Genomic DNA, 23,958 nt, shown 5'->3' on the forward strand with positions numbered 1-23,958 from the left:
TAATGCAAAAGAAATGACCCCGAACAAGCTCCCACTATCCCCTGGCCCCTGCTTTAAAAAATGGCTAAATATACATAATTTACACCGACTGCATTTGTGTAAGTGATGAACTGGAAGCATGTACACATGCAGCACATTCTTTTGTTGGGCAGGAAGGGTGTTTATTGCATTCTTGCAAGTCATTAGCACATACAAAACATTAGCAGCTCTTACTTGGCCTCAGTGCAGAGCCTCCTTGAGGGCAATGGAGAGAAAAAGAACATTAGCATGAGCCGAGGTGCCCTGATAACTCATGACTTTCATTCCTGCAAGTGCCCCTTGATGCTCTGTCCCATTTGAGTCCTTGTGGTTACATGCTGCCTAGATAAAGAATTGCAGCTCAAGTCCTGTTTATTCCTTTGCCTACTCACTGCTGCTTCAAGACAAGCTTCCCAAGGGGTAAGATGGGAACACCGGACAGGGATCTCTGCAATTTTCTTCTAACTGGTAATTCTCCCAGTCCTACAAACCAAGTTTTCCTTAAGCAGATTCCATGGGAACTGTTTTAAATGCTCCATATTAATAAGCCATTTGAAAAATGTTTCTTTTCCCCTCCCCCTGTTCCGCACCATCTTTTTCGTTTATTCAAGAAAGAGTAAAGAGAAACGAAAACTAGAATACAGAGATTTTCAACTTTTTATAAGATGCTATATATTACTGTATTTAAGACAATCTTTTGAAATGTAAAAAAAATTCCCCCTGAATTAGGACTGACTTCATCTGAGTAGATACCATCTACTGTAACAGCCCAACCCTGTCCCCTCAGGTCTTGGCAGCTAAAGGTGAGTAGGGCCCCCCTCCTTCCCCATACCCCTGCCTGAGAAACTGCCAGGAAGCTCTCAGGCAGCATCAGCAGGCAGGAAGTGGGGTGGGAGTGAGGGGGTCTCCACCCATTAGCAGCTGCTTATGCAGTAGGCAGGGAAACTTTCCTACAGAAAGATCAGGTCAGCAGATACTCCAAACCAATTTCTACCACATGCTACCTAGTTGTGGAATTAAATTAAAAAGCTAAGAAGGGACCTGGAATGCCAATCCCCTTGTTTTCCTCCTACCTTGTGCCTGGCACCCAAAAGAATAAAACAAGAACAGCTGGATTTGGCAGTTGAAAGGGAATTCTTAGGTAACTGGAAGGAAGTGAAGGCAGCACACACCAAGGAATGCTGTCTGCACAATACGTCATGTACCAATGATGAAATGTCAAGACCCGTCATTGTCCAAGTGCTCATTCAGATTCAACCAAAAGACAAATTTGACAGATTATCAGAATCTTCCAGGATGGGTGGTGGGTGTAGTGGGGAAAGGAGTGAGGTCATTTTTTAAAAAAATGACTCAGTTTTTTTTTTAAAGCAAAATAATGTTATCACCTCAGTGGTTTAGCTATAGTCCATTCTAGAGCAATTGAAAAGAAGTTTTGCCAGCAGCTGGGAGAATATTTCCAAATAAGTCACTTCAGATTATATTAGAGCTCTAAAATAAAAAATGAATAAACAATAAACAAGTGTTTGTCCATTAGATCTCAGTGCATTTTTGTTAACACTTTACTTGCAGGAGATACTTGATTTTTTCTTACGCTATTTCCTTAACAGTGATTTGCTATTCCTTTAATAAGTGGATAAAAGTTGTGCCCATTGTTTCACATGCACATTAAAAATAAGTTTTTATGGCTGGGCGTGGTGGCTCACGCCTGCAATCCCAGCACTCTGGGAGGCCAAGGCAGGTGGATCACCTGATGTCAGGAGTTCGAGACCAGCCTGACCAACATGGAGAAACCCTGTCTCTACAAAAAATATACAAAATTAGCTGGGTGTGGTGGTGCATGCCTGTAATCCCAGCTACGAGGGAGGCTGAGGCAGGAGAATAGCTTGAACCCAGGAGACGGAGGTTGCGGTGAGCCGAGATTGCGCCATTGCACTCCAGCCTGGGCAACAAGAGCAAAACTCTGTCCCAAAATAAATAAATAAATAAATAAATAAATAAATAAATAAATAAATAAATAAATTTTTACATGCCCCTAACAATAGAAAAACATTAAATGGTTACCTCTGCAAATGTGTTCCGATTTGCTTGCAAGCCAACTTTTACTACCTCAAAAGGGTTAACTACAATGGCTTCTGTTAGTCCAGATCCCAATCCAGCAATGGCGAATGTCTAGAAAAATTAAATCAATCAATACTTTAAAACAAGTTATCATGTGTATGGGGTTAAACATCCTATTCATTACACTATGCAGCTGAACGTTATAAAGAGAATGGAGAAACCTACATAAACGCACCATATTCCATTACTAAACAGCTTTAGTTCTTGATTAGATGCTGACAATTCATGAAGAAGAAATTACAGAAGCCACAAACCACATCCTAACAATTTCAAAATAAAATGTCAAAGCCCCATCAACAACGACTCTTTCCTTTAACAAAAAGCAAGGTTGTTTTACTGATTTAAAGGTGGATATTAAAACATCTGCACAGATAACAATTAAGAGAATTTGAATTGTAAAAAGAGAGCTTCATTTTTAAACATCTACTTAAATTCCTTTATTGAGCATATAAGAAATCCAAGGAGCACAACCACAAATAAAATGTTTCTAAAAAGCTAAATTTCAGGTAACAACATAGCTGGAAACATTTAACTCTATGTTCATGTTTTTAGAGTCACTATTCTGGACTATTAACAAACAAAAATTATTTTTTATTCATCTTTTCCCTATTTTAAAAAACACCGGCAATTGACGCAGTCTTCTAAACCTAAAAGCTGAGATCAGAAATGGCTAGATGTGCACCCACAGTCCCAGCTGCTCGGCAGCTGAAGTGGGAGGATCACTTGAGCCTAAGAGTTCAAGGCTGCAGTGAGCTATGATTGAACAACTGTACTGCAGCCTGAGCAACAGAGTGAGACCCTGTCTCAAATAAAATAAAAAAAAAAAGAAGAAGAAGAAGAAAAAGAAGAAAAGAAAGACAAAGACAAAGAAATGACTAGGTTATTCTGAAAGGCTCAAATAAAATGTAGAAAACTTATCAAAAGGTGACTGTATGTCAAGTTCTTATTCGCTATCTGTTAAGAATTTCTGCAACAGGAAAGGACAATTTTCTAGAATTTTCCTCTAGGTAGAATGCTTGTGTGTTTTCCAGAAAATCTGCATCAAAAATAAGCACAACAATTAAAACATGCACACACAAGACAGAAGAACAAAATGAAATAAAGCCCCAGTCTCCAAAACAGATGCTGGAAAAAAGGTAATTATTTAGTGCTGAACCTCCAATTCCAGGACAAGAGGCAGTACTATAGACAACCAAGAGAAGAATAAAACCAGTGAAGAGTAAATAACAGGTAACTCTTGTTAATGGGCTCTAATATCTTCTAAATAGGAGAGGACGGAGGGAGAAAGGAATATCTTCTAAAAGAGAGGAAGGAGGGAGAAAGGAATGTTGTGTAACCTTAGAAAGGGAGGCACAAAGGCAGGATCCAGAGACAGGAGGTCTAGGTTTAGGTCCAATTCTAGCACTTACTGGCTGTGTGACTAGAACTGTAACACACAGTAGCTTGTGCATAGACAAAGGTGCCCAACCAAGGGTGCTTGGAGGCTGGAATCCAGCTTGCCCCTCACTTGCTAAGAGAAGCCCTGGAGAGGCATCGGTCAGGAGAAGGGGCAACTTTTCATTATTTACCCAAAGGTGCCATGGGTGCTAGTTGTGGCTCTGTTGTATACATTGCTGAATCTCTGATGAGCCACAGTTTTCTCATCTGTAAAATGGAAATAATAATATCTAATTTCCCTGCTTATAAAGTTATTTTAAGGCTCAAAATAATGTGTGAAACCATTTCATAGAGTGCTATGCAAACACCATTGTTCTTGTTGCGCATAAAAAAGGAAGAATGGGCCAGGTGCAATGGCTCACGCCTGTAATCCCAGCACTTTGGGAGGCCAAGTTGGGTGGATGACCTGAGGTCAGAAGTTCAAGACCAGCCTGGCCAACATGGTGAAACCCCATCTCTACTAAAAATACAAAAATTAGTTGGGCTTGGTGGTGCATGCCTGTAATCCCAGCTTCTGGGGAGGCTGAGGCAGGAGAATCACTGGAACCCAGGAGGCGGAGGTTGCAGCGAGCTGAGATCATGCCACTGCACTCCAGCCTGGGCGACAGATTGAGACTCTGTCTCAAAAAAAAAGAAAAAGAAAATGAAAAAGAAAGAAAGAAAGAAATTGCATACAGATTCTAGGAGAGAGAGACTCACTGATGATGTTTCCATTTCATCTCCCTTCATTATAATTTTAAACATATTTGTATAGGGTAACTCATCAAATATTTTATTCATTTATCTCAGACTTCCATGATAGAAGCCAAAAGTGGAAAAAAAAATACTAGTCCCAAACTCTTTTGACTGGGAAAGCTAAAATCCAGATGTCCAGGTTTTTATTACTTACTCTATGCAATCTTCCAAGTAATTCACTTTTTTGTTCTTCTATAAAACTCAGCTACATTTGCTGTCAGAACTAGTGTTCAGCAGTCCCTTGTCAAAAGAATTGATCAGATATCAGCAGATCATGTTACGTAGGTTGTTCCAGAAACCTACATTTACTGTTCGGTTTCCAGTCTCCTAGGCTTTTCATGTGAGAGCACCAGGGGACATTTAACAGCTGTTTAAATGTCTAGCCATATAAAAAAAAGTAACTGAAATAAATGAGTTCAAGAAAAGAGAAGAACCGTACACAGTTGGCATGCATTTGGTTATAGTAGCTGCAGTGACCAAATGCTTTTCTGTTTCAATTCTCAAGAGTCCAAAGACCTACAGTTTCTCACATGGTACCAATGTTTGACACAAGAACAGCCAGCTGGCCCTCTGGAGACAATATTTTATTGTTTCTCACTAGGAAATTTTTAATCCTCTTTTTTGCCAAGCTGTTTCCAAACTTAAGAATGACATTAAGGGAAGATGCCAAAGAATTAAAAGGAAAAAATCCCAGCTAGTTTCGAGATTCATGGTATCACTGCTCCTCTCTAGGAAGCCATGTCTCCCAGCTATCTTGTATAGGCAAGGGCTGGACAAGACATTGCTTTGTTATAACAAAAAGTGATGCTATTAGGTTTCCTAACAGGATTTTTCCTAGAAAAGGGGCATGTATGATTTTTTAAAAATAACAGATACTTCTTCTTGGACAGCCTATTTGGCAGAATACATATCTCAAATATTGTCCATTTCATTGGACAAATGAGGGCATTTTCCTAGAGGCTGGAGTACATTGCCAATTGGAGGGCCAATGCAGATTTTGTTTTGCTTTGCTTTGCAGACTTGGAAGGAGAAATTAGTGCATTTGCTCTCTCAGGGGCTCTTGTTGCACACACATTTGTAGAACCCATTTGGTCAATACAATTAACTTCTGTGAAAAGCAGCAAAGTCACCAAAAAGGAGGGGAATGGCATAGGGAAATGTTCAAATCACCAAGTGAATTTTGTGTGATACATGAGATATGTCATTGTAATATCACAATTCTCCTTAGCTGAGTTGTTTACAGTCATTCCTATAAAAGGCCCTTCAGTCTGCATCTGACCACAGAGTGACTTTATCCCAAGGGATCGATCTGAAGTCTTATATTTACTACAGCTGGTGCAAAAGCTGGAAAAGTGACCTGTTTGGCATGTTGACTTTTGGATAGATATATGCAGTATGTATGTAAATACATGCATGTCTTGGTTTAAAAGGAGTCTTTGATAAATGTACTCTTTATTTCATATTCTTGACCATATCTCATATGGGGCCTTTCCAGACATATCATTATTATCATAAATTCATCACTGGGAGCTATAAAATAGCCAAATTGTGAGTTATTAGGAAGATGGCTTTCAACAAGTAGCTGAACACTGAATAACTCGAATTCATATTTTAGTAGCTGGGCTTGGAAATCAAAAGAGTTTTTGTTTCTAGATTTTGCTTTATGAAATAACACACACATTTAAGTATAATAAATACTCTCACTTACCAATGCTGGTGACAGTGACACATATCCCAGCAATTTCTTGTACTGCTCAAAGGTGAAAAACTGTGAAACAAAACCAAACTCACAGATTTATAACAATTTTCCTGCAACAAACTCTTTAATTGACTCAAATTTCTTTGGTAAATCATTATGTTAACCAGCATTTCAAAAAATGATAAACTATCTAATACAGTTTTTAATCCTGTCTCGGGCAGTTGCTATTGGATCTTTCTTTAACATTCACAGTTTCAAATGCAGTTATAATAACCTACAGAAGAGCTGATGAAATCCTTTAGAGCAGTAAATGAACCATACAACTTCCATTTACCATGACCATTTTCAGTTTCCCCAGACATCAATATATGGCAGTGATTCAACATTATAGGCCTAGAGACCTGACATCTTTGGTCTCCTATGTTTTCTCTATGAACTGCTTTCCCAGTGAAAGCCCAATTTTCTAACACATTTGTAAAAGACATCCACTTTTCAGCCTTAACTTGCATTTCTATTGTGGTGTCTCCCCACTGCTCCATGGAATTGAAAACACTAAATAATTATGAAGATGCCATGATAAACTAGGGAAGGACTCAATGAGGTTATCTAGTCCATCCCCTGCCATAAAGCAAGACTGTCCTCAACCTGAATGAAGAAAGCTGCTAATTCCTTCCTTCAAAACTGATGGTGATGAAGATCGTGAAGGTATTGTTGGTTTCTTCAGTAGACAATGTTTAGTATCATTTTCTCTGCAAACAAATTTCAATGGAGGCGAATCTAATCAATTGCTTCATATAATACATTTCCCCCCTTTTTTCTTCCTCTATTCTACTTTTTGAGCAACAACTGTGCTTGAACATGTTTTGCTCCTGGGTAGCATGTTCAGGTAGCTGTCAACACCACTGATAAGGCACGTTTTTAAGTTCTGCTAGAGTCTGATTCTCGAGACCCCAAAAATGTTATAGGTATTATATGGTCCCCAATATTTTCTACTCTATTATTTTATAGCCCAGTAAAATGGGGCAAGAAAGCAAAACCAGATTTCAGAGCCAAAAATACTCTGTTGTTAGGAAGAAGTAGCTCCTTATAGATGGCTTCAGTGAGTGTTTGGGCAGCCCAAGAATCGTTTTACTATCTGGTAAATTTTGATTCTTTTCAACACTCAGGAACTACTTTTGTGCCATGGTCTTTCAAATGCACTATGAATGTAGAGTTTTCTAAAACAGGGATTCATTCATTCACTCGTTTAATAATACTATTAGAGACCTCCTATTCTAGGTACTGGGGATGCAACAGTAAACAAAGAGAAACCTCTGCCTACTTGAGCTAACATTCTAGTGGCTAGTGAAAGCCCTGAAACTACCCTGGTGTTAAAATAGTACTCAACGGCAAACACCAGGGACCACCACTTTTCTGATGAAACCATTAACCACTAGAAACCATTAACCATGGAAGGAAAAGTGTTATAATCTTAGGTTTTTTTTTTTTTTTTCGAGATGGAGTCTCGCTCTGTCGCCCAGGCTGGAGTGCAGTGGCGCGATCTCGGCTCACTGCAAGCTCCGCCTCCCGGGTTCACGCCATTCTCCTGCCTCAGCCTCCCGAGTAGCTGGGACTACAGGCGCCCGCTACCACGCCCGGCTAATTTTTTTGTATTTTTAGTAGAGACGGGGTTTCCCCGTGTTAGCCAGGATGGTCTCGATCTCCTGACCTCGTGATCCGACCGCCTCGGCCTCCCAAAGTACTGGGATTACAGGCAATCTTAGCTTTTAAAAGTAATTTATTTTTCTTCATTTTTATGATTATCATCATCATCACTTTGACAGTCACCTTGCTGGCATTTTGAAATGAGCAGTCCTAGAGCTGAATCCAGGTTATGCTGCTTAGCTGTGAAAGCACAGGAAAGCTGCTTAACCTTTCTAACTCTCAGGAACACAAAACTTACCTTTTAGATTATCATTAAATAAGATAATTTAAGTAAGATTCCCTGACAGGACTGGCACAAGTAAGACTTTTGAAAAATCTTAGTTTTTATTCCCTGTAACTTAGGTTACCAAAGGAATCATAGAGGCCTTAAGTATATGAGCACTCCTCTCAATGCCCTGGGGCTGCTGAAGCTTTCCAGTCTGGCTGGTGGGAATAGGCACTATTCTCAGCCCCATGTGACTGCTGAGCACTGTTCCCTCAAAGCCTTTTGGGTGGTTCTTTCCCAGGCATTGGTAGTTTCCTTGCAGGCGTGCACTGGTCAATACTCAGCTGAACACTTGAGGGGTCCCTCTACAGATCTCAGGAGTTCTATCTCTGTGCAGCCTGCTCTTCCCTGGTACTCTGTCCTGTGGACTCTGGCTGCCCTGCTCTCCCCTGGCTTTCAGCTCCTTCTCAACCCAGGGAGTCCCCTGGGCTCTGCCTCAGTTTCCCCTCCCTGTCCCGGGGCCTGAAAGTATCCCAAGGTGGTAAGCTGTGGCATCACAGGGCTCATTTCATTTGTTTTCCATTTCTCAGGCATTTCCAGCCTTCATCATCTGATGTCCAGTGTCTTGAAAACTGTTATTTCATACTGGTCCCTGTTACTCTATCTCCACCAGGAGTGGAAGTCTTGGCCCTCCAGATACTCTGAACAGTGGATGTGGGAATTTTCTCTCTATGTATATTTCTTTGTTTCTTTCTTTTAAGTTTTCTTTCTGTTTCTTTTTATATATGTTTCCTTTATTCATCTAATATCAACTGAACATCTAGTATGTGTAGATACTATGATTGGTATAGGTATACTGTAGTGAACTAATTAGCCTTCATAGTTTATAATCTCTTGTGAATTTAGTTAGCATAAGGCAGTCCTTGAGAAACTGCACATGGGAAAACTGGTATTTCTGTATGTGTGAAGCTCAAGACTGGACCCTGAAGCCGGAACCATGGTGCCGCCCATCTGTGAGGGATCAGCTGGTCTCTCTGAAGTCTTCTTTTCCTTTTGCTAACTACAATATTAACTCTGTCTAATTTGTGAAAGGAGAAATTTCATTTATTTAGCATCAGTAAGTCTTATTACTTTAATGATAAAGCTCATTTCAAAGAATAAAGTACATAAAAACTTAAGATTGTCTGTTTCTAATTATGGTAATGATTTTAACTAAAGTGTCAGTACCAAAGAATACACACACACACCCCGCCCCCCTCAGTCTCTGAATATTTTTTTTCTTTGATGACATACAATGAAGCAGTTTATGATGTATGAAATCGTTAAAATCAGGTGATTGCTTTCCTCACAAATCCTAAGATAAATATCTATAAAATGAATGTTTTCATAAATTGTGTTGAAAAACTAGTGCTATCCATCTGGCAAAGATACACTTAACTCCAAGTTATACTTAAAAAGCCAACAAACTTACCATATGTCTCAATAATTTTAAGGTAAAATCTACTTGAAACAAGATGTCTGGGACACATACACCATATTCAGTTGCCCAAAAGTTCATCTGTTAACCATTGTTCTGGCACAGAACATTGCTTTTGGAAAATAGGGACTGACTCTGTTTTATAAAGCTCAACTATTTTTTTCTGTAAAAGATTGCTTAATGTTGATAAGTCTTAATCCTCTTAAAGTTTAAATTGTCTCCAACACATAATATTAAGAAAAAAATATTCCAGGAAAAACTCTAATTTTAGTTTACTTTATCTATACATGTAACTCACTGAACAGATGAGTATATTATTCCATGCAGACAAAGTGACTTCCCTTTTGAACAGGAACTCTGCTCTATTTGTTTACTTGGGCAATCTTTTATCAAGTAAAGCCATTTCATAATTCAATTCAGCTCTTTTGTCTACTTTGGTGAACTTATTCCAGATTCATTACTGTGATTCAGATCCTTATAACAAAATTTGTATTGAAGTGATACTATAAAATCACAAAACCTATACCAACAAAGAGGGTGAGTTTATAGAGAAAGTATGTTCTAAAGCTTTGTTTTCCAAATTCTAGACTTGAATTCAATCCTATTAAATTGCCACTTTGACATCATATAAAGGTTGGATGTTCATGTATATATGTGGGTGATTTTATCATAATTTTTAATCCAGTCACCCTCTTGAACTTACTGAGTAAAAGTATATGAACTGTTCCTTCTTGTCTTTCAGGAGTACTGCGAATACATTTCACACACATGAGTAATGTATGTGAAAAAAAACCTTATGTTGCTTGGAAAGTAAGTCTTTAAGTTTAGGTTATCATTATTATGGAAGGACAAAGCCTTATTTGGTGATGTCAGTGGTGCGGGGGAGGGGAGCAATGCCTGTCAGAGTCGCTATGATCAGGACTTTTGTCTGAGAGAAGACAGTAGTCAGATTGAGTTCTTTTGCCCCTGGACATTCTGCTGGATCTCCCTGTTCCTCTTCAGATACTGAACTAGCAAGTAGTACATAAACCTCTACAGTTATGTGGTTAAGTAAATGGAAATCAGGGTAGTGGAAGTAATAATTTTTGTTAAGAACCAGAATAGAGAATTTTAACAGAGGAGACTAAGGGGGAAAATGAAGTTGGCATTCCAAAAAATTATGTTATATGAGAATCATATATAAAGAAATATGGTATATTGGTTTACTCTGTTCATGAAATGGGAATGATTTAGGGAGAAAAGTTTTCCCTCCTCTCCTCTTTCCTCTTCCCTCCATCTCTCTTTCTTTAATAATTGTTTCTCCAAAGAAAAATTTCTGAGTTGCTTTGAAGAAAGGTCCAAGCTATTTTGTGGTTTGATTACTAGAATTTTATTCACCATGTTGTTTTTTGAATAATTTCCCCATTAGAATGGAATGCTTTTACCTGATTAAAAAAATCTACAAATTGATCTACATATTTGAGAGACTGACCAAGTCTAATTATAATAAAAATTATGCTATAATTTCTGCATTAAAATTTTTAGTGCTTTATATATAATTCATTTTAATGTCTTAAGAGTTTGTTGTGCTGAAGCTGTTACTGTGCCCTACTTTTGCTTGGTGCGAACGCATGCAATGCTTACCTTCACTGCTCTTTTTGGGGTTTCAGCCAAGATAGGTGGCAGAATTCCCTTGTAAAAACCAAATAACCTGTTGGAGAAATAAAAGATTTCCTATGAGTAAGGAAATTAGGCAACAAGTATTTCTGACTTTGTTAAGATAATCCTAAAGTATTCCCGATTATTCAACATAGCACACCAATCATGAAGTCTTCCTTTCATTCTAAAATAAAGAAATAAATTTTATGTCTATTAGCATTATGATATTCAGAAGGTAAATACGTGATACTGAGACAGGAATCCCTTAGATAAGTTGCTAAGCATGACCATTAGTTGTACCTTAACGATGAATCTGACTGTCCTTACTCTAAGGGCTCTTGAGTTTATTTTCTCAGTTGTGTGGCAGGTAGCTTCAAGCTATCTACAGTCCTGCATTTCCTCCCTTGTGGCAACCAAATGAGGTTAGGATTATACCTGAACCCATTAGACTGTACCTTTCTGAGGCTAAGGAGGTGATGAAATTTTCAATTTTAGCTTTACTAATACAAGGGAACTAACAAGCTCTGTGGGTATGGTACTAGAGCTTCCAGCCCCGTCCTGATTTAGTCATAATTTTCAGGCTTCCTTGATGGAAGTGGAAGAAGGTCACAGAGGGCCAGCTACAGGACTATGTATTGCCAACAGAAGAAATGTCAGACTCCCTTGCTGATATGTAAAATCACAGGGCATGAGCCAGTTTACTTTGCCAGTGTTGACGGGCAACATGGTCAGATATTTTTAGAAAAAAAACAAGAATGAGTGACATATGGTTAGATTTATAACAAGTCACCATTTATTTCTTATTATATTTTTAGAATTCAAAATTTTAAATTCCTTTGTCCTGGAATCTTCATATATATGCCATATCTTCATTTCAAACCTTAAAATATATAAATAGAAGAGAATATTATGCATTATTTTCTGAGTAATCACTTTTCCTGATGAGTCCATAACATGTCCCTAATTTAGGATATCCAGCTAACATGGGGCTGCAGCTTCTCTGATTCACCCCCCAAGCTTCACTCCAGCTCCCTTAAACTGGGTCCACTTCTAGCTGTGCTTCTGGGAACAAGAAGTTGAGAATTTATTCAAGTGAACCCACTGTACCACCCAAACCAACACGGCGACCTCTTGTTCTCCTTCAATTCACTGGCTTACACAGTACCTTTTGGTGAGGGCACTAAAGCACTTGCCTGCTTTACTCAATTCATGGGCTTACCCAGCCTCAATTCACTGGCTTACATAGAAACTTGAGGGCAGCGCACCCTTTGGGGTTCTTATCCCAGAATCCTTTTTTTTTTTTTTTTTTGTATATAACCAGGACACAAATATTTGTTAAGCTTATGGATCTCATAAAGAGGAAGAAAGGGATCAAATTATTCTCTGATATGGGCTTATTCTGGCCACAATTTTTTTTTTTTTTTTTTTTTTTTGAGACCGAGTCTCACTCTGTCGCCCAGGCTGGAGTGCAGGGGCGCATCTCGGCTCACTGCAAGCTCCACCTCCCGGGTTCACGCCATTCTCCTGCCTCAGCCTCCCGAGTAGCTGGGACTACAGGCACCCGCCACCACGCCCGGCTAATTTTTTATATTTTTAGTAGAGATGGGGTTTCACCGTGTTAGCCAGGATGGTCTCGATCTCCTGACCTCGTGATCCGCCTGCCTTGGCCTCCCAAAGTGCTGGGATTACAGGCGTGAGCCACCGTGCCCAGCCTGCCCACGATTTTTGACTTAATGGATAGTGCTAGCATTATGAATAGGAAGTAAAGCAGATACATGATTTGGAGAGCTATGGCAATTCATGAGTTGTCCCCACCCCTTTTCCATTCCAATTTGAATTACTGATGCCTGAAATTCTCACATCAACACGAATTACTTCTAGCAACTAATAACATTTAAATACTTTTCTCATTTAAATTTCATTATAAATTAATCACTATGTAATTTTTGGCATAAAGAGTGACCAAGCATAGGTTGGTCTTCCCAAAAGATAAACGTGATTTTCTTGAACAGAAGTTCTATATATATAATGATAAAGGTTATTAGTTCTGTTCTTTCTGTGTTGATCTTTCCCCATCTGGAAGACTATGCCTGATTATTGTAGGAAAAAAAAAATAAAGAGAAACACTTAAATAAGTAAAGCTTTTAAAACAGAGTGTCCAGATCAACAGAGGAACTTGAAATCCCAAACTACAGAGAACAGTTATAGGAAGAACAGTTGCTTCAACTGGAGAAGAATGATCTTAGGGAGAAATATGGTGAACATGATGGATCTTTTGAAAGGTGTGTGTTAAGGAAAGACATTACACTTTTCTCTTTGTTTCCAGGTGGTAGAACTAGGACCAACAGGTGGAAGCAACAAGAAAAGACACATTTTTGGCCCAGGTGGAGCTTAACACAATGAAGTACTTCTAATGGTCAGAACGGTCTAAAGATAGAATGGGCTCTCCTGAAAAGTGGTGAGTTTCCCTTTGGTATGTGATCAAGCAGTCTGGATGGCCACTTGTCATGAATACCAGCAATGGGAGATACACAGCAAATCCATGCATTTGATGGCCCTCAAGGCTGATCTGTTTCAATCCTCAGATTCTGTTATTCTGAGAAAAAGAACAAGAAGACATGGGCAAGCACTTCTCTGAAGTGACAGAATCTGCCATACCTTAGACTTTTGCATCAAATCTTACACTGCTTCTCTGGAAGAGGACTAAAGTCTTCTAAGTACACAGAAGGTCTTCATTTTAAAAGTGATGGGGTAAAATATTAAAAAGAGGTGTGATGCAGGAGAGAAGAAGAGGCAGCTGGGAGAAGCATAAGGATTTAATATGAAAAGAGCTGGGAGGTCCAGAGCCCTCTGCTTTGTGTTGACGATGCTTCATTGATGTGCCCTACTTCCCTTCTCTCTGCTCAGCTACTTTCATGTGCGATCGTTCCCCTCCTCCCATACCACCATCCTGAGCTTCCAAATTGAGAATGAGCAATTTTAACAAGAAGTTCTCAAAGACCACAGGCAGCCTTTGTTGGTAAATGGAAGCTAGGACTACCTACCTCCTCGCATTGCTTTTACCGTATATCCATGCAATAGAGGACTGTGGAACACTCAGGTCAGCACCGCTTCTGCTGAGGACTGCCCCATCAAGTTGTTTTAAACACATTCGTATAATATGATACAATATGATACAGGGTCAGTCTTGCTCTGCTTGGTGAAAACTGTAACATATAAAACTAGGATTTCATTGGCAGCCATGCTTTTAGTCATTTGGAGAAAGTCAATCTGCAGTGATAAAAAAAGAAAGAAGCCACCATTTAGGGAGGCACAGAAGCAAGAAGGAGAAGCTCTGTTTCTGTGAGTGAGGCCCTGCTTCCAGAATTTAAGCCTAGTTACGTCTGGCCTTTCTCGAATATTGGTATTTACCCCTGCCTTTGATTGTATGAGATACTCAGTGACATTTCCATTAAATTCTCTCTTTTACTTAAATAAGTTTGAGTTGCATTCATCATTTATAACCCAGAGCCCTGGATCCAGAAAGTAAGCATCACTGTCCCTCCAGCCAAAGTGGCTGCTGTAGAACCTCTGTGCTGTGTCCAATCATAGGAAGAGCTTCACTCTCAGTTAAAATTTGCCCTTGAGCAGACCAGAAGAGTCACATATAAAATGCAGGTAAGAGCATGTGGTTAAGGGCTCAAGCTGATAGCTATTCTTGACTAGATAATTACTGAAAGTTTTCCCAACGCAAAATATTATATGCAGCTTTCTAGAAACCAAAAAGGAATTGTGATGTTTTATGAAGCAGATACTTTTTTTTTTCTGCAAAAGAACTGATGTTTATATTCACATGCACTGTCCATTCTGCCTTCATGTGGTTTTGGCTTGCTGTGCAGAGCCTACAGCTTACCAGGACCATAATCCAGGAAGTTAAGAGATTGGTGACACCCATTGTTAACATGCGTCATCCCGCTTATGTCACGAGCAGCCAAGAGCTGCTTTCAGTCTACTTGCTGGATGAATGGATCGTGGGATTCTAAACGTTTATGTACAGTGAAGGCATTCTTCTCTCCGACATGACGGCAAAGGCATCACTCTACTCTAAAGTTTTGACTCACATCAAGCCAACTAGAAGAAAGAGTCTTTGGAAGAGGCATGAGAGCTACTACAACACCTCCCATAAAACTGTATTATGAACTACATGGCAGCCTTTATATTTTGTTCTCTAAGTTGTTACTTCTAAAAGGTGTGAGTTTGATTTTAACTGTCCTATGTAAAAAAGTATTAGCTCGTATGTTTATGGATTTTTGTAAATATTATTGTAAGTAAAAATAGACAAATCTGTTGAAATCTTACTATGTAATAGCTTTTGTGTTAAGAATAAAAACATGTAGGTATATGTACACATGGTAATCTCAATCAACTTTCACAACAATCCTTTAAAGTATTTATAATTATTTTCCTCATTTTGCTGGTGAGGACTACCATCATGTCAATGCCAAATAAGATATAGCAACCTAAATCAAGTTCTTTATGTCCTTGACCACCAGGCTATACTGTATAGCTTTTTTTAAAACAACTATTTTAATAAAAGCTTTTGAAAAATTGTTTATGTTACAGCAATACCTTATCATTTCTTATTTTAGAAGGAAGCAGGAAAGGCCACTGAAAACAGGTCTCTATTCCAATTTTTATTCAGTTCTGTTTTAAAGTAATATGAAATACTATATAACTGATAGAACTGGTCTAAGATGAATAAAATCATTTTTGTGAAAGTTTTTGGGATATTGATTAAATATTTTCTAGTTGTTTCAGAATGAGGAAAAAATGAGCCCTAGGATAAACTTTTTCCTCCCCAAGATAGACTTTTGCCCTTAAGAGGCACACCAGGAGGCTAGGCACAGTAGCTCACACCTGTAATCCCAGCACTTCGGGAAGCCGAGGTGGGTGGATCACGTGAGGTCAGGAGTTCGAGACCAGTCTGACTAACATGGTGAAGCCCCTTCTCTACTAAAAATACAAAAATTAGCTGGGTGTGGTGGTGCACGCATGTAGTCCCAGCTACTCGGGAGGCTGAAGCAGGAGAATTGCTTGAACCCGGGAGGTGGAGGTTGCAGTGAGCTGAGATCATGTCACTGCATTCCAGCCTGGCAACAGAGCAAGACTCTGTCTAAAAAAAAAGAAAAAAAAAAAAAAGAGGCACACCAGGATAATTCTGTCAATGTGGGAGAATGTTGGTTACTGACCCAAAAGATACATGCCCCTCACCCCACTTGCTCCTCAGAGTATAAGTGATGCCCATACTCCGTGCTTAGAGAGGTGAGTCCTCCTCCAGCCCAAGGGATAAAGCAGAATTGTTCAAACCCATCATGGTGGCCTCATTCCTTTTCTAGTGAGAGGGTTAGGCATGGACATATGACTGAAACCTAGCCCAAGAGACAAGAGGGAATGGTGTGCTGGAAGGCTTGGATTTCCAGTCTAAGGCAAAGAAGCCCACAGGAAGAAAAGTCCTGTCTTCTTTGCTAGGTGTTTCCTAGCTGTGTGAGATGCCTGTGGACTGCAGCCAAGTGAGACATCATTGCTCCCAAGCTAAGGATGGAGCACATCCCTTTCTGAACAAAGAGCCTTAAATCGAAATTCTTAAAATCATAATTATATTAAAGATAATTGTTAAATCTTAAGCAATGCATTTATAAGGAAGCTGTGAGAACTATTGTTAAGAAATGGTCTCAGATTGTTTATGCTGGGGAGCCCATCACACATAAAACCCCATCCCATTAGTGTGATTGTCTGTGAAAGAACCCCTTACCACAGATGGAATACAGAGAAGCTAGCAGACCAAAGTCACACAGCAAATATGAGGAGGGGGTACCAGGACTCCAAAGCCACTAGATTGTGATGGTTTATAGACTAATGAGAGGTATTTTTCACAAACCTAAGCAGATACACAGTGCTACAATATTGGATCACATTTGTTTTTAATTGTACTACTTATGTACATCTGTAAAATGAAGATCAAAAACTACATCACGTGTTCTTCTCAAAGACAGCTCACACATAGCTTATTTGAAGTACAGATTTCTGCCAAACCCTACAAAATAATTTTATCCCTCATTCAACCCCCCCACCCCCATCTTAAAAGTGTGAAGCTATCTAACATATGGGTGGCTACGAGGTCACAGAGCAACCAATGAAAAGATGCTGACTGTATGGAAGCAAGGAAATGTGAAATTTCCTATGAGTTCCAGCTTGTGTCCAGTCTCTGTGGTTCATGTAGAGCAAGGCAAACCCTCAAAGATGCCTTCTTATTGTCTCTCATTAGTAGGGTCCAGTTTTAGGTTACCCTGTTTTTAAGTCTAAATTTTAGACACCTATAGAGACCAGTCAGCCAGACAGAGCCTTAATTAAACATTGTGTACCTGATATCTTTAGTCAGTTTGAACGACTAAAAAAAGTTCCTTGCTTTAAGTTAGCTACTGAAATCTGAAGACTTTGTGGTAAATAGTGGGTAGACAGGGGAAGGCTTAACATTCTGAAAATTTGACTCAGGTAAAGAAACTAAAAAGGAGTGGAAAAATCACATGTCCTGTCTGCCCCTCCTTTTACCCCTCTGAGTCACCCCCATTGTTGGTTTTGCTGGTATTTTTCTAATTTAGTATGTAGAAAATATGTGTTTGGGAATCATTTGTACCATAGAGTTGAACTCCTCTTTCAAGCAGGCTGGGAAATTTCCTAAGTTACTAGGCTACTAGGTTTTTGGTGTTAGGAGCAAGAACATGGAATATTTTCTTATTTGCAGCTCCCAGTGAGAAAGAAAAACAGTGTAGCTGCTTCACAACTGACTTTTAGAAAGAGTCAACCTTGTTGTCTATCAGAAATGTTACCATAAAACTAAACTGATACATTAAAGAGAAAATGCATATAAAGAAATCTGTGAACAAGACATTTTTCCTCCTAAAAGAGGAGAAGATCAATGTGTAAATTTGCTGCTCATGGAAGCTGGGGCTTTCCCTGGTTGTCAGGGATGAAGTGTTTTGGGATCCAAACTGCTGATATTCATAATCAAAGTCCAGCAACCATCACACTGGGAAAGCCAGGATAGAGATGCACATTATCTGAGCCTGAAAATATCAATTACAGAAATGATCTCCAAGTTGAAAAGCCATTTTCCAAGCCACCTGTAACACACTCACACACAGCATGAGAAGGATGCTTTCACCTGGATCCCACTTCTTTGCCAAAAACCTGGCATTCAGTAAGCATCCAGAGCAGCAATAATACTCACCAGTGAAGCATGAAATAGGAGCGACAGGGAAAGTGACACCAGATCCCCAGTTGGGGAAATTGGAAAGCATTAACACGTCTGTATACCTAACAGAGTACAATTACTACATTTTATTTTGTTTCAACAGCCAGAACCCAAATGAACATCACCATTCAGCTCTGTTCTGGGCAATGATTCAAGCTCATCTTTGGTACAGTTGATTTTGAAGCCTTACAGTCAATCATATCTTTACAATTTGTTCTTCTTTCAGGCTTCAGGCATCCTCCTGATTTCCATTTCTTGTATGGAAGCCTTGAGTCATCTGTTCTGGCAACATGACCAACCCAAATCAGTCATTTTCTCCAAATTATACTGAAATACAGATCTTGCTAGTTTGTTGTTTTCTTCCTCTTTCTTTTTTCACAAAATTTTTCCTTTAAGGATCTCCTAATACAAAGCTGATTGAAGGCATACAATATCCTCTTTCTTCTTCTGCTGTCAGATCCAAGTTTTTTACCCACATGCTGTGGTTCTGTAATTAAAACAACGAAGTCCACGCTCAACCCTGGGTTATGAGTGCACGGCTTCCATTGTTTGATGGATCGTGTATCCCAGACCAGAATTCTGGTCCTGACACTACACACTACACACTACACCTTTAGGGCATTATTCTGACATCATTTGCACTCCACAAGTGTCAGCAGTTCACAGAATCCAAATGAAAGAGTGGGGTTTCATGGCTCTGTGATTTGAATTATGTAGAATCTATAATCTCAAGTTCACAAAATTGCATGCATCTTGGGGCCATTTTCATTGAGGCAAAAGAGGGAGGGAAAACCACATATCTTTTAGAGGGAGGAAAAACAGTTCAAAAGAGAGCAAGTGACACAGATTCTTCTTTTAAAAGCAGCAAATAAATTTCAAGGAAGTGCACATAAGCTTTAGCTAACATTCTAACATAAAACTAACAAAAGTTTTGCCTACCCAACTCATATCAGGTCTTCAGGCAATGACAATATAGTTTTCATTATTCATTACTGAGAATTAATTCAATTAAGTTTCTGCATATGGTCTTTGGATTGATTTGTTACCCCAAACCATACCACTTTCATTATACGCTGTATGGAGGAATTCTTTCAAGTTTTCCTGAACACACTTTTCAAACTGTATGTTTAGTATGATTTTACCACAACAATGAAATTTTTTTGGGTGCAACTGAAATAAACTACAACTTTGATTTTCTAAAATACAAAAATTTATTGTAGCTGTCAGTATCATTTAGGAGGTAAGTCCATGGCTCCATTCCCTGGAAAGTTGGCAGAGTGCTCAATGCACTAAACATGTTGCTCAGTTCAGCCCAAGAAAGGCCTTAGTGTGATATGAGAACCAGAACCCTGATGGAAAACACTAAGGAAAGAAAAAGTGAAAAAGATACTTGAGAAGCAACCAAAGAGGTGAATAGTATTGGTAAAATGTGGGTGTTCATTGCCCCATTAATCTGTAAGTGAAGAAACTTATTTATAACTGACTATATGGTAAGTGTATTAATTTTCAGTGACAGCAGATCACTTTGCTTATAAAGATGAACACTTTCCACTAGGAAATAATAATCATCAAAGGGCAGTTTTTCACTTAGGTGGGTGGCACTATGAGGAAAAGGACTCCAAGAAAAAAAAACAACTCTATTTCTTGGACTCGGACTGAAAACCAGGAAAGACAACCCAATCATGGAGCAAAAAAAGTCCTTCACCAGAATATACCTCAAAATAATAAAAGCCATCCATATATGACACACCCACAGCCAACAGCATACTGGATGGGGAAAAGCTGAAAGCATTTCCCCTAAGAACAAGACAAGGAACAAGACAAGGATGGAACAAGACAAGGATGCCCACTTTCACCAATCATATTCAACGTAGTACTGGAAGTCCTAGCTAGAGCAATCAGGCAAGAGAAAGAAATAAAAGGATCAAAATTGGAAAAGGAAGTCAAATGATCTCTCACTGATAAAGTGATTTTATACCTAGAAACCACAAAATACTCCTAGATTTGATACATGATTTCAGGAATCAAAATCAACATACCAAAATCAGTAGCATTTCTATATACCAATAATAATCAACCTGATAACCAAATCGAGAACTGAATCTCATTTAAAATAGCTACATAAAATACCTAGGAATATACTTAACCAAGGAGGTGAAAAATTCTACAAGGAGTATTTGTACTTTGACAAGGAGAATTGCAAAAGATTGAGAAAAGAATCATAGATGACACAAACAAGTGGGAAAAAATCCTATACTCATCTACTGGAAGAATCAATATTGCTAAAATGACCATACTGCCCAAAGTAATCTACAGATTCAATGCAATTTCTATCAAATTACCAATATCATTCCTCACATAATTAGAAAAACAATCTCCAAATTCATATGGAACCAAAAAAGAGCCTAAATAGCCAAAGCAATCCTAAGCAAAAAGAATAAATTTGGAGGTATCAAATCATCTGACTTCAGATTACACTAGAAGGCTATAATAACCAAAACAGCATGGCATTAGCACAAAAACAGACAGATAGATCAATGGAACAGAATAGAGAACTTAGAAATAAAGCCACATACCTACAACCAACTGATCTTTGACAAAGTTGACAAAAATATATATTGGGGAAAGGATACTCTATTCAATAAATAGTTCTGGGAAAATTGGAGAGCCATTTGCAGAAGGGTGAAACTGGACCCCTATCTCTCACCATATACAAAAATCAACTCAAAATGGATTACAGACTTAAATATAAGACTTGAAACTATAAAAATACTAGAAAAAGAAATATAGGAGAAATTCTTCTGAACATTGGCAGAAATGCAACAAAACCAAAAATAGACAAATGGGACTTAAACTAAAAATCTTTTGCACAGCAAAAGAAATAATCATCCAAGTAAACAGACAGTCTACAGAATGAGGGAAAATATTTGCAAACAATGCATATGATAAAGTGCTAATATCCAGAATCTACGAGGAGCTCAAACAGCTCAACAAGAAAAAAACATATAACCTCATTAAAAAGTGGGCAAAGTTCATGAACAGGCATTTTTCTTTTTTTTTATTATAGTTTAAGTTCTAGGGTACATGTACACAACGTGCAGGTTTATTACATAGGTATACATGTGCCATGTTGGTTTGCTGCACCCATTAACTCATCATTTACATTAGGTATTTCTCCTAATGCTATCCCTCCCCAGCCCCCCACCCTCCAACATGTTCCCCTCCCTGTGTCCATGTGTTCTCATTGTTCAACTCCCACTTATGGGTGAGAATATGCGCTGCCTTGTTTTCTGTCCCTGTGATATTTTGCTGAGAATGATAGTTTCCAGCTTCATCCATGTCCCTGAAAAGGACATGAACTCATCCTTTTTTATGGCTGCATAGTATTCCATGGTGTATATGTGCCACATTTTCTTTATCCAGTCTATTATTGACGGATATTTGGGTTGGTTCCAAGTCTTTGCTATTGTGAATAGTGCCACAATAAACATACGTGTGCATGTGTCTTTATAGTAGCATGATTTATAATCCTTTGGGTATATACCTAGGAATGGGATGGCTGGGTCAAATGGTATTTCTTATTCTAGATCCTTGAGGAATCGCCACACTGTCTTCCACAATGGTTGAACTAATTTACACTCCCACCAACAGTGTAAAAGCGTTCCTATTTCTCCACATCGTCTCCAGCCTCTGTTGTTTCTTAACTTTTTAATGATCACCATTCTAACTGGCATGAGATGGTATCTCATTGTGGTTTTGATTTGCATTTCTCTGATGACCAGTGATGATGAGCATTTTTTCATATGTCTGTTGGCTGCATAAATGTCTTCTTTTGAGAAGTATCTGTTCATATCCTTTGCCTACTTTTTGATGGGGTTGTTTATTTTTTTCTTGTAAACTTGTTTAAGTTCTTTGTAGATTCTGGATATTAGCCCTTTGTCAGATGGATAGATTGCAAAAATTGTCTCCCATTCTGTAAGTTGCACGAATAGGCATTTTTCAAAAGAAGACATACACGTGGCCATCAAACATATGAAAACATGCTCAACATCACTAATCATCAGAAAAATGCAAATTAAAACCATGATGAGATATCATCACCTTACACTAGTTAGAATGCCTATTAAAAAGTCAAAAAACAACAGATGTTGATGGAGATGCAGAAAAAAGAGAACGCTTCTACACTGCTGGTGGAAATGTAAAATATTACAACCTCTATGGAAAACAGGATGGAGATTTCACAGAACTAAAAATAGAACTATCATTCAATCCATCAATCCCACTACTGGGTATCTACCCAAAGGAAAAAAAAGCATCATATCAAAAAGATACCTGCACTCATCTGTTTATTGCAACACTATTCCCAATAGCAAAGTCATGGAATCAATCTAAGTGTCCGTCAACAGATGACTGGATAAAATAATGTGGTATGCCATGGAATACTACTCAGCTATAACAAAGAATGAAATCATGTCTTTGAAACAACATGGATGGAACTGGATGCCACTATCCTAAAGTGGGATGACTTAGAAACAGAAAGTCAAAAAACTTCGTGTTCTCCTTTATAAGTGGAAGCTAAACAATGGGTACACATGGACATACAGAGTGTAGAATAACAGATTTTGGAGACTCCAAAACTGGGAGGATGGGAGAGGGGTGAGGAAAACAATACCACCTACTGGGTATAATGTACATTTATTTGGGCGATGGGTACTAAAAGCCTGGACTTTACTAGTATGCAATATATCCATGTAACCCAGTTGTGCTAGTATCCCTAAATCTATTTTTTATTAAGTCCTTCACCAGACAGCTCATTGATAAATAAGCCTTGCTGAGGAAATTCCTTGCTCCATTCTGATCACTCTCATCTTCTCACCAGCTCCCCTTTTCTTATCTCCTGTTTCTAGTTTCTGTCCCTCCCATTCATAAAGTAACTATCATTCACATTTTAACTCACTCTTTCATTAATATACTCTGTGCCAAGCACTAGGATAAACACCTTTTTCTAGGATCCTATTGTCCAAAATCAACTAAGACCTTAATTTTCTCCAAGGACCTTTCTCTGACATGGTAGACAAAATGTTGATATTGTACCTGCCTGCATTATTTAACCAAGATGTTGCCTTTCATATTACCTTATAGGTCTGACACATAGTAACACCCAGATAACATTATATTAAATGCATATATGCACACACACACTCTTATACATATACATCTATATGTATACATCAACAAATATATATAAATTCATATACCCAGACATGACTCAGTATCCATATTAACAGTTGGAATGACTTGCATATTTTTCACTGAATTGAATATGTATTAGTCACATGATTACCATATTTAATCCAGGTTATAAACTGCTTAATGGTTATTCCTGTTTTTAATCACCACTCTCTGGCAGTTAGTATTAATTTGATGTTATTTGTCAGTAAAGGCAATATGAGTGTGGGCTCTGGAGCCACACTCTTTGGCCTTAAATTTTGGCTCAACCACATGTTAGCTGTTTACCCAGCATGGAAAACTCTTGTACAAAAAGTGAGCAAATTAATTCCACTGCATTACTAGTGGAAGAAAGATGGAGTCTATGCCAGTTCTCTGTACTAGTGTTTATGGAAATGAATTAGTAC

General features: G+C 38.5%; 1 protein-coding gene across 5 annotated transcripts in view; it reads right to left on the bottom strand.

The window, feature by feature from the left end:
• The window catches only part of SLC25A21 (solute carrier family 25 member 21), a 494,686-nt gene that overhangs the window by 45,570 nt on the left and 425,158 nt on the right, over positions 1–23,958 (bottom strand). For 4 of the 5 annotated variants that reach the window (XM_047431871.1, NM_001171170.2, NM_030631.4 and 1 more), the window contains 3 exons: positions 11,017–11,083; positions 6,017–6,076; positions 2,080–2,187 (listed from right to left, as the gene is read on the bottom strand). In XM_047431871.1, coding sequence (XP_047287827.1) covers positions 2,080–2,187; positions 6,017–6,076; positions 11,017–11,083 — 235 coding nt within the window. Of the gene's footprint in view, positions 1–2,079; positions 2,188–6,016; positions 6,077–11,016; positions 11,084–14,075; positions 14,302–23,958 lie in introns of all 5 variants that reach the window. The other variant, XM_011537289.4, reaches the window with a different exon arrangement.

Source organism: Homo sapiens, chromosome 14, assembly GCF_000001405.40.
Source record: "Homo sapiens chromosome 14, GRCh38.p14 Primary Assembly".
Classification (NCBI taxonomy): domain Eukaryota; kingdom Metazoa; phylum Chordata; class Mammalia; order Primates; family Hominidae; genus Homo; species Homo sapiens.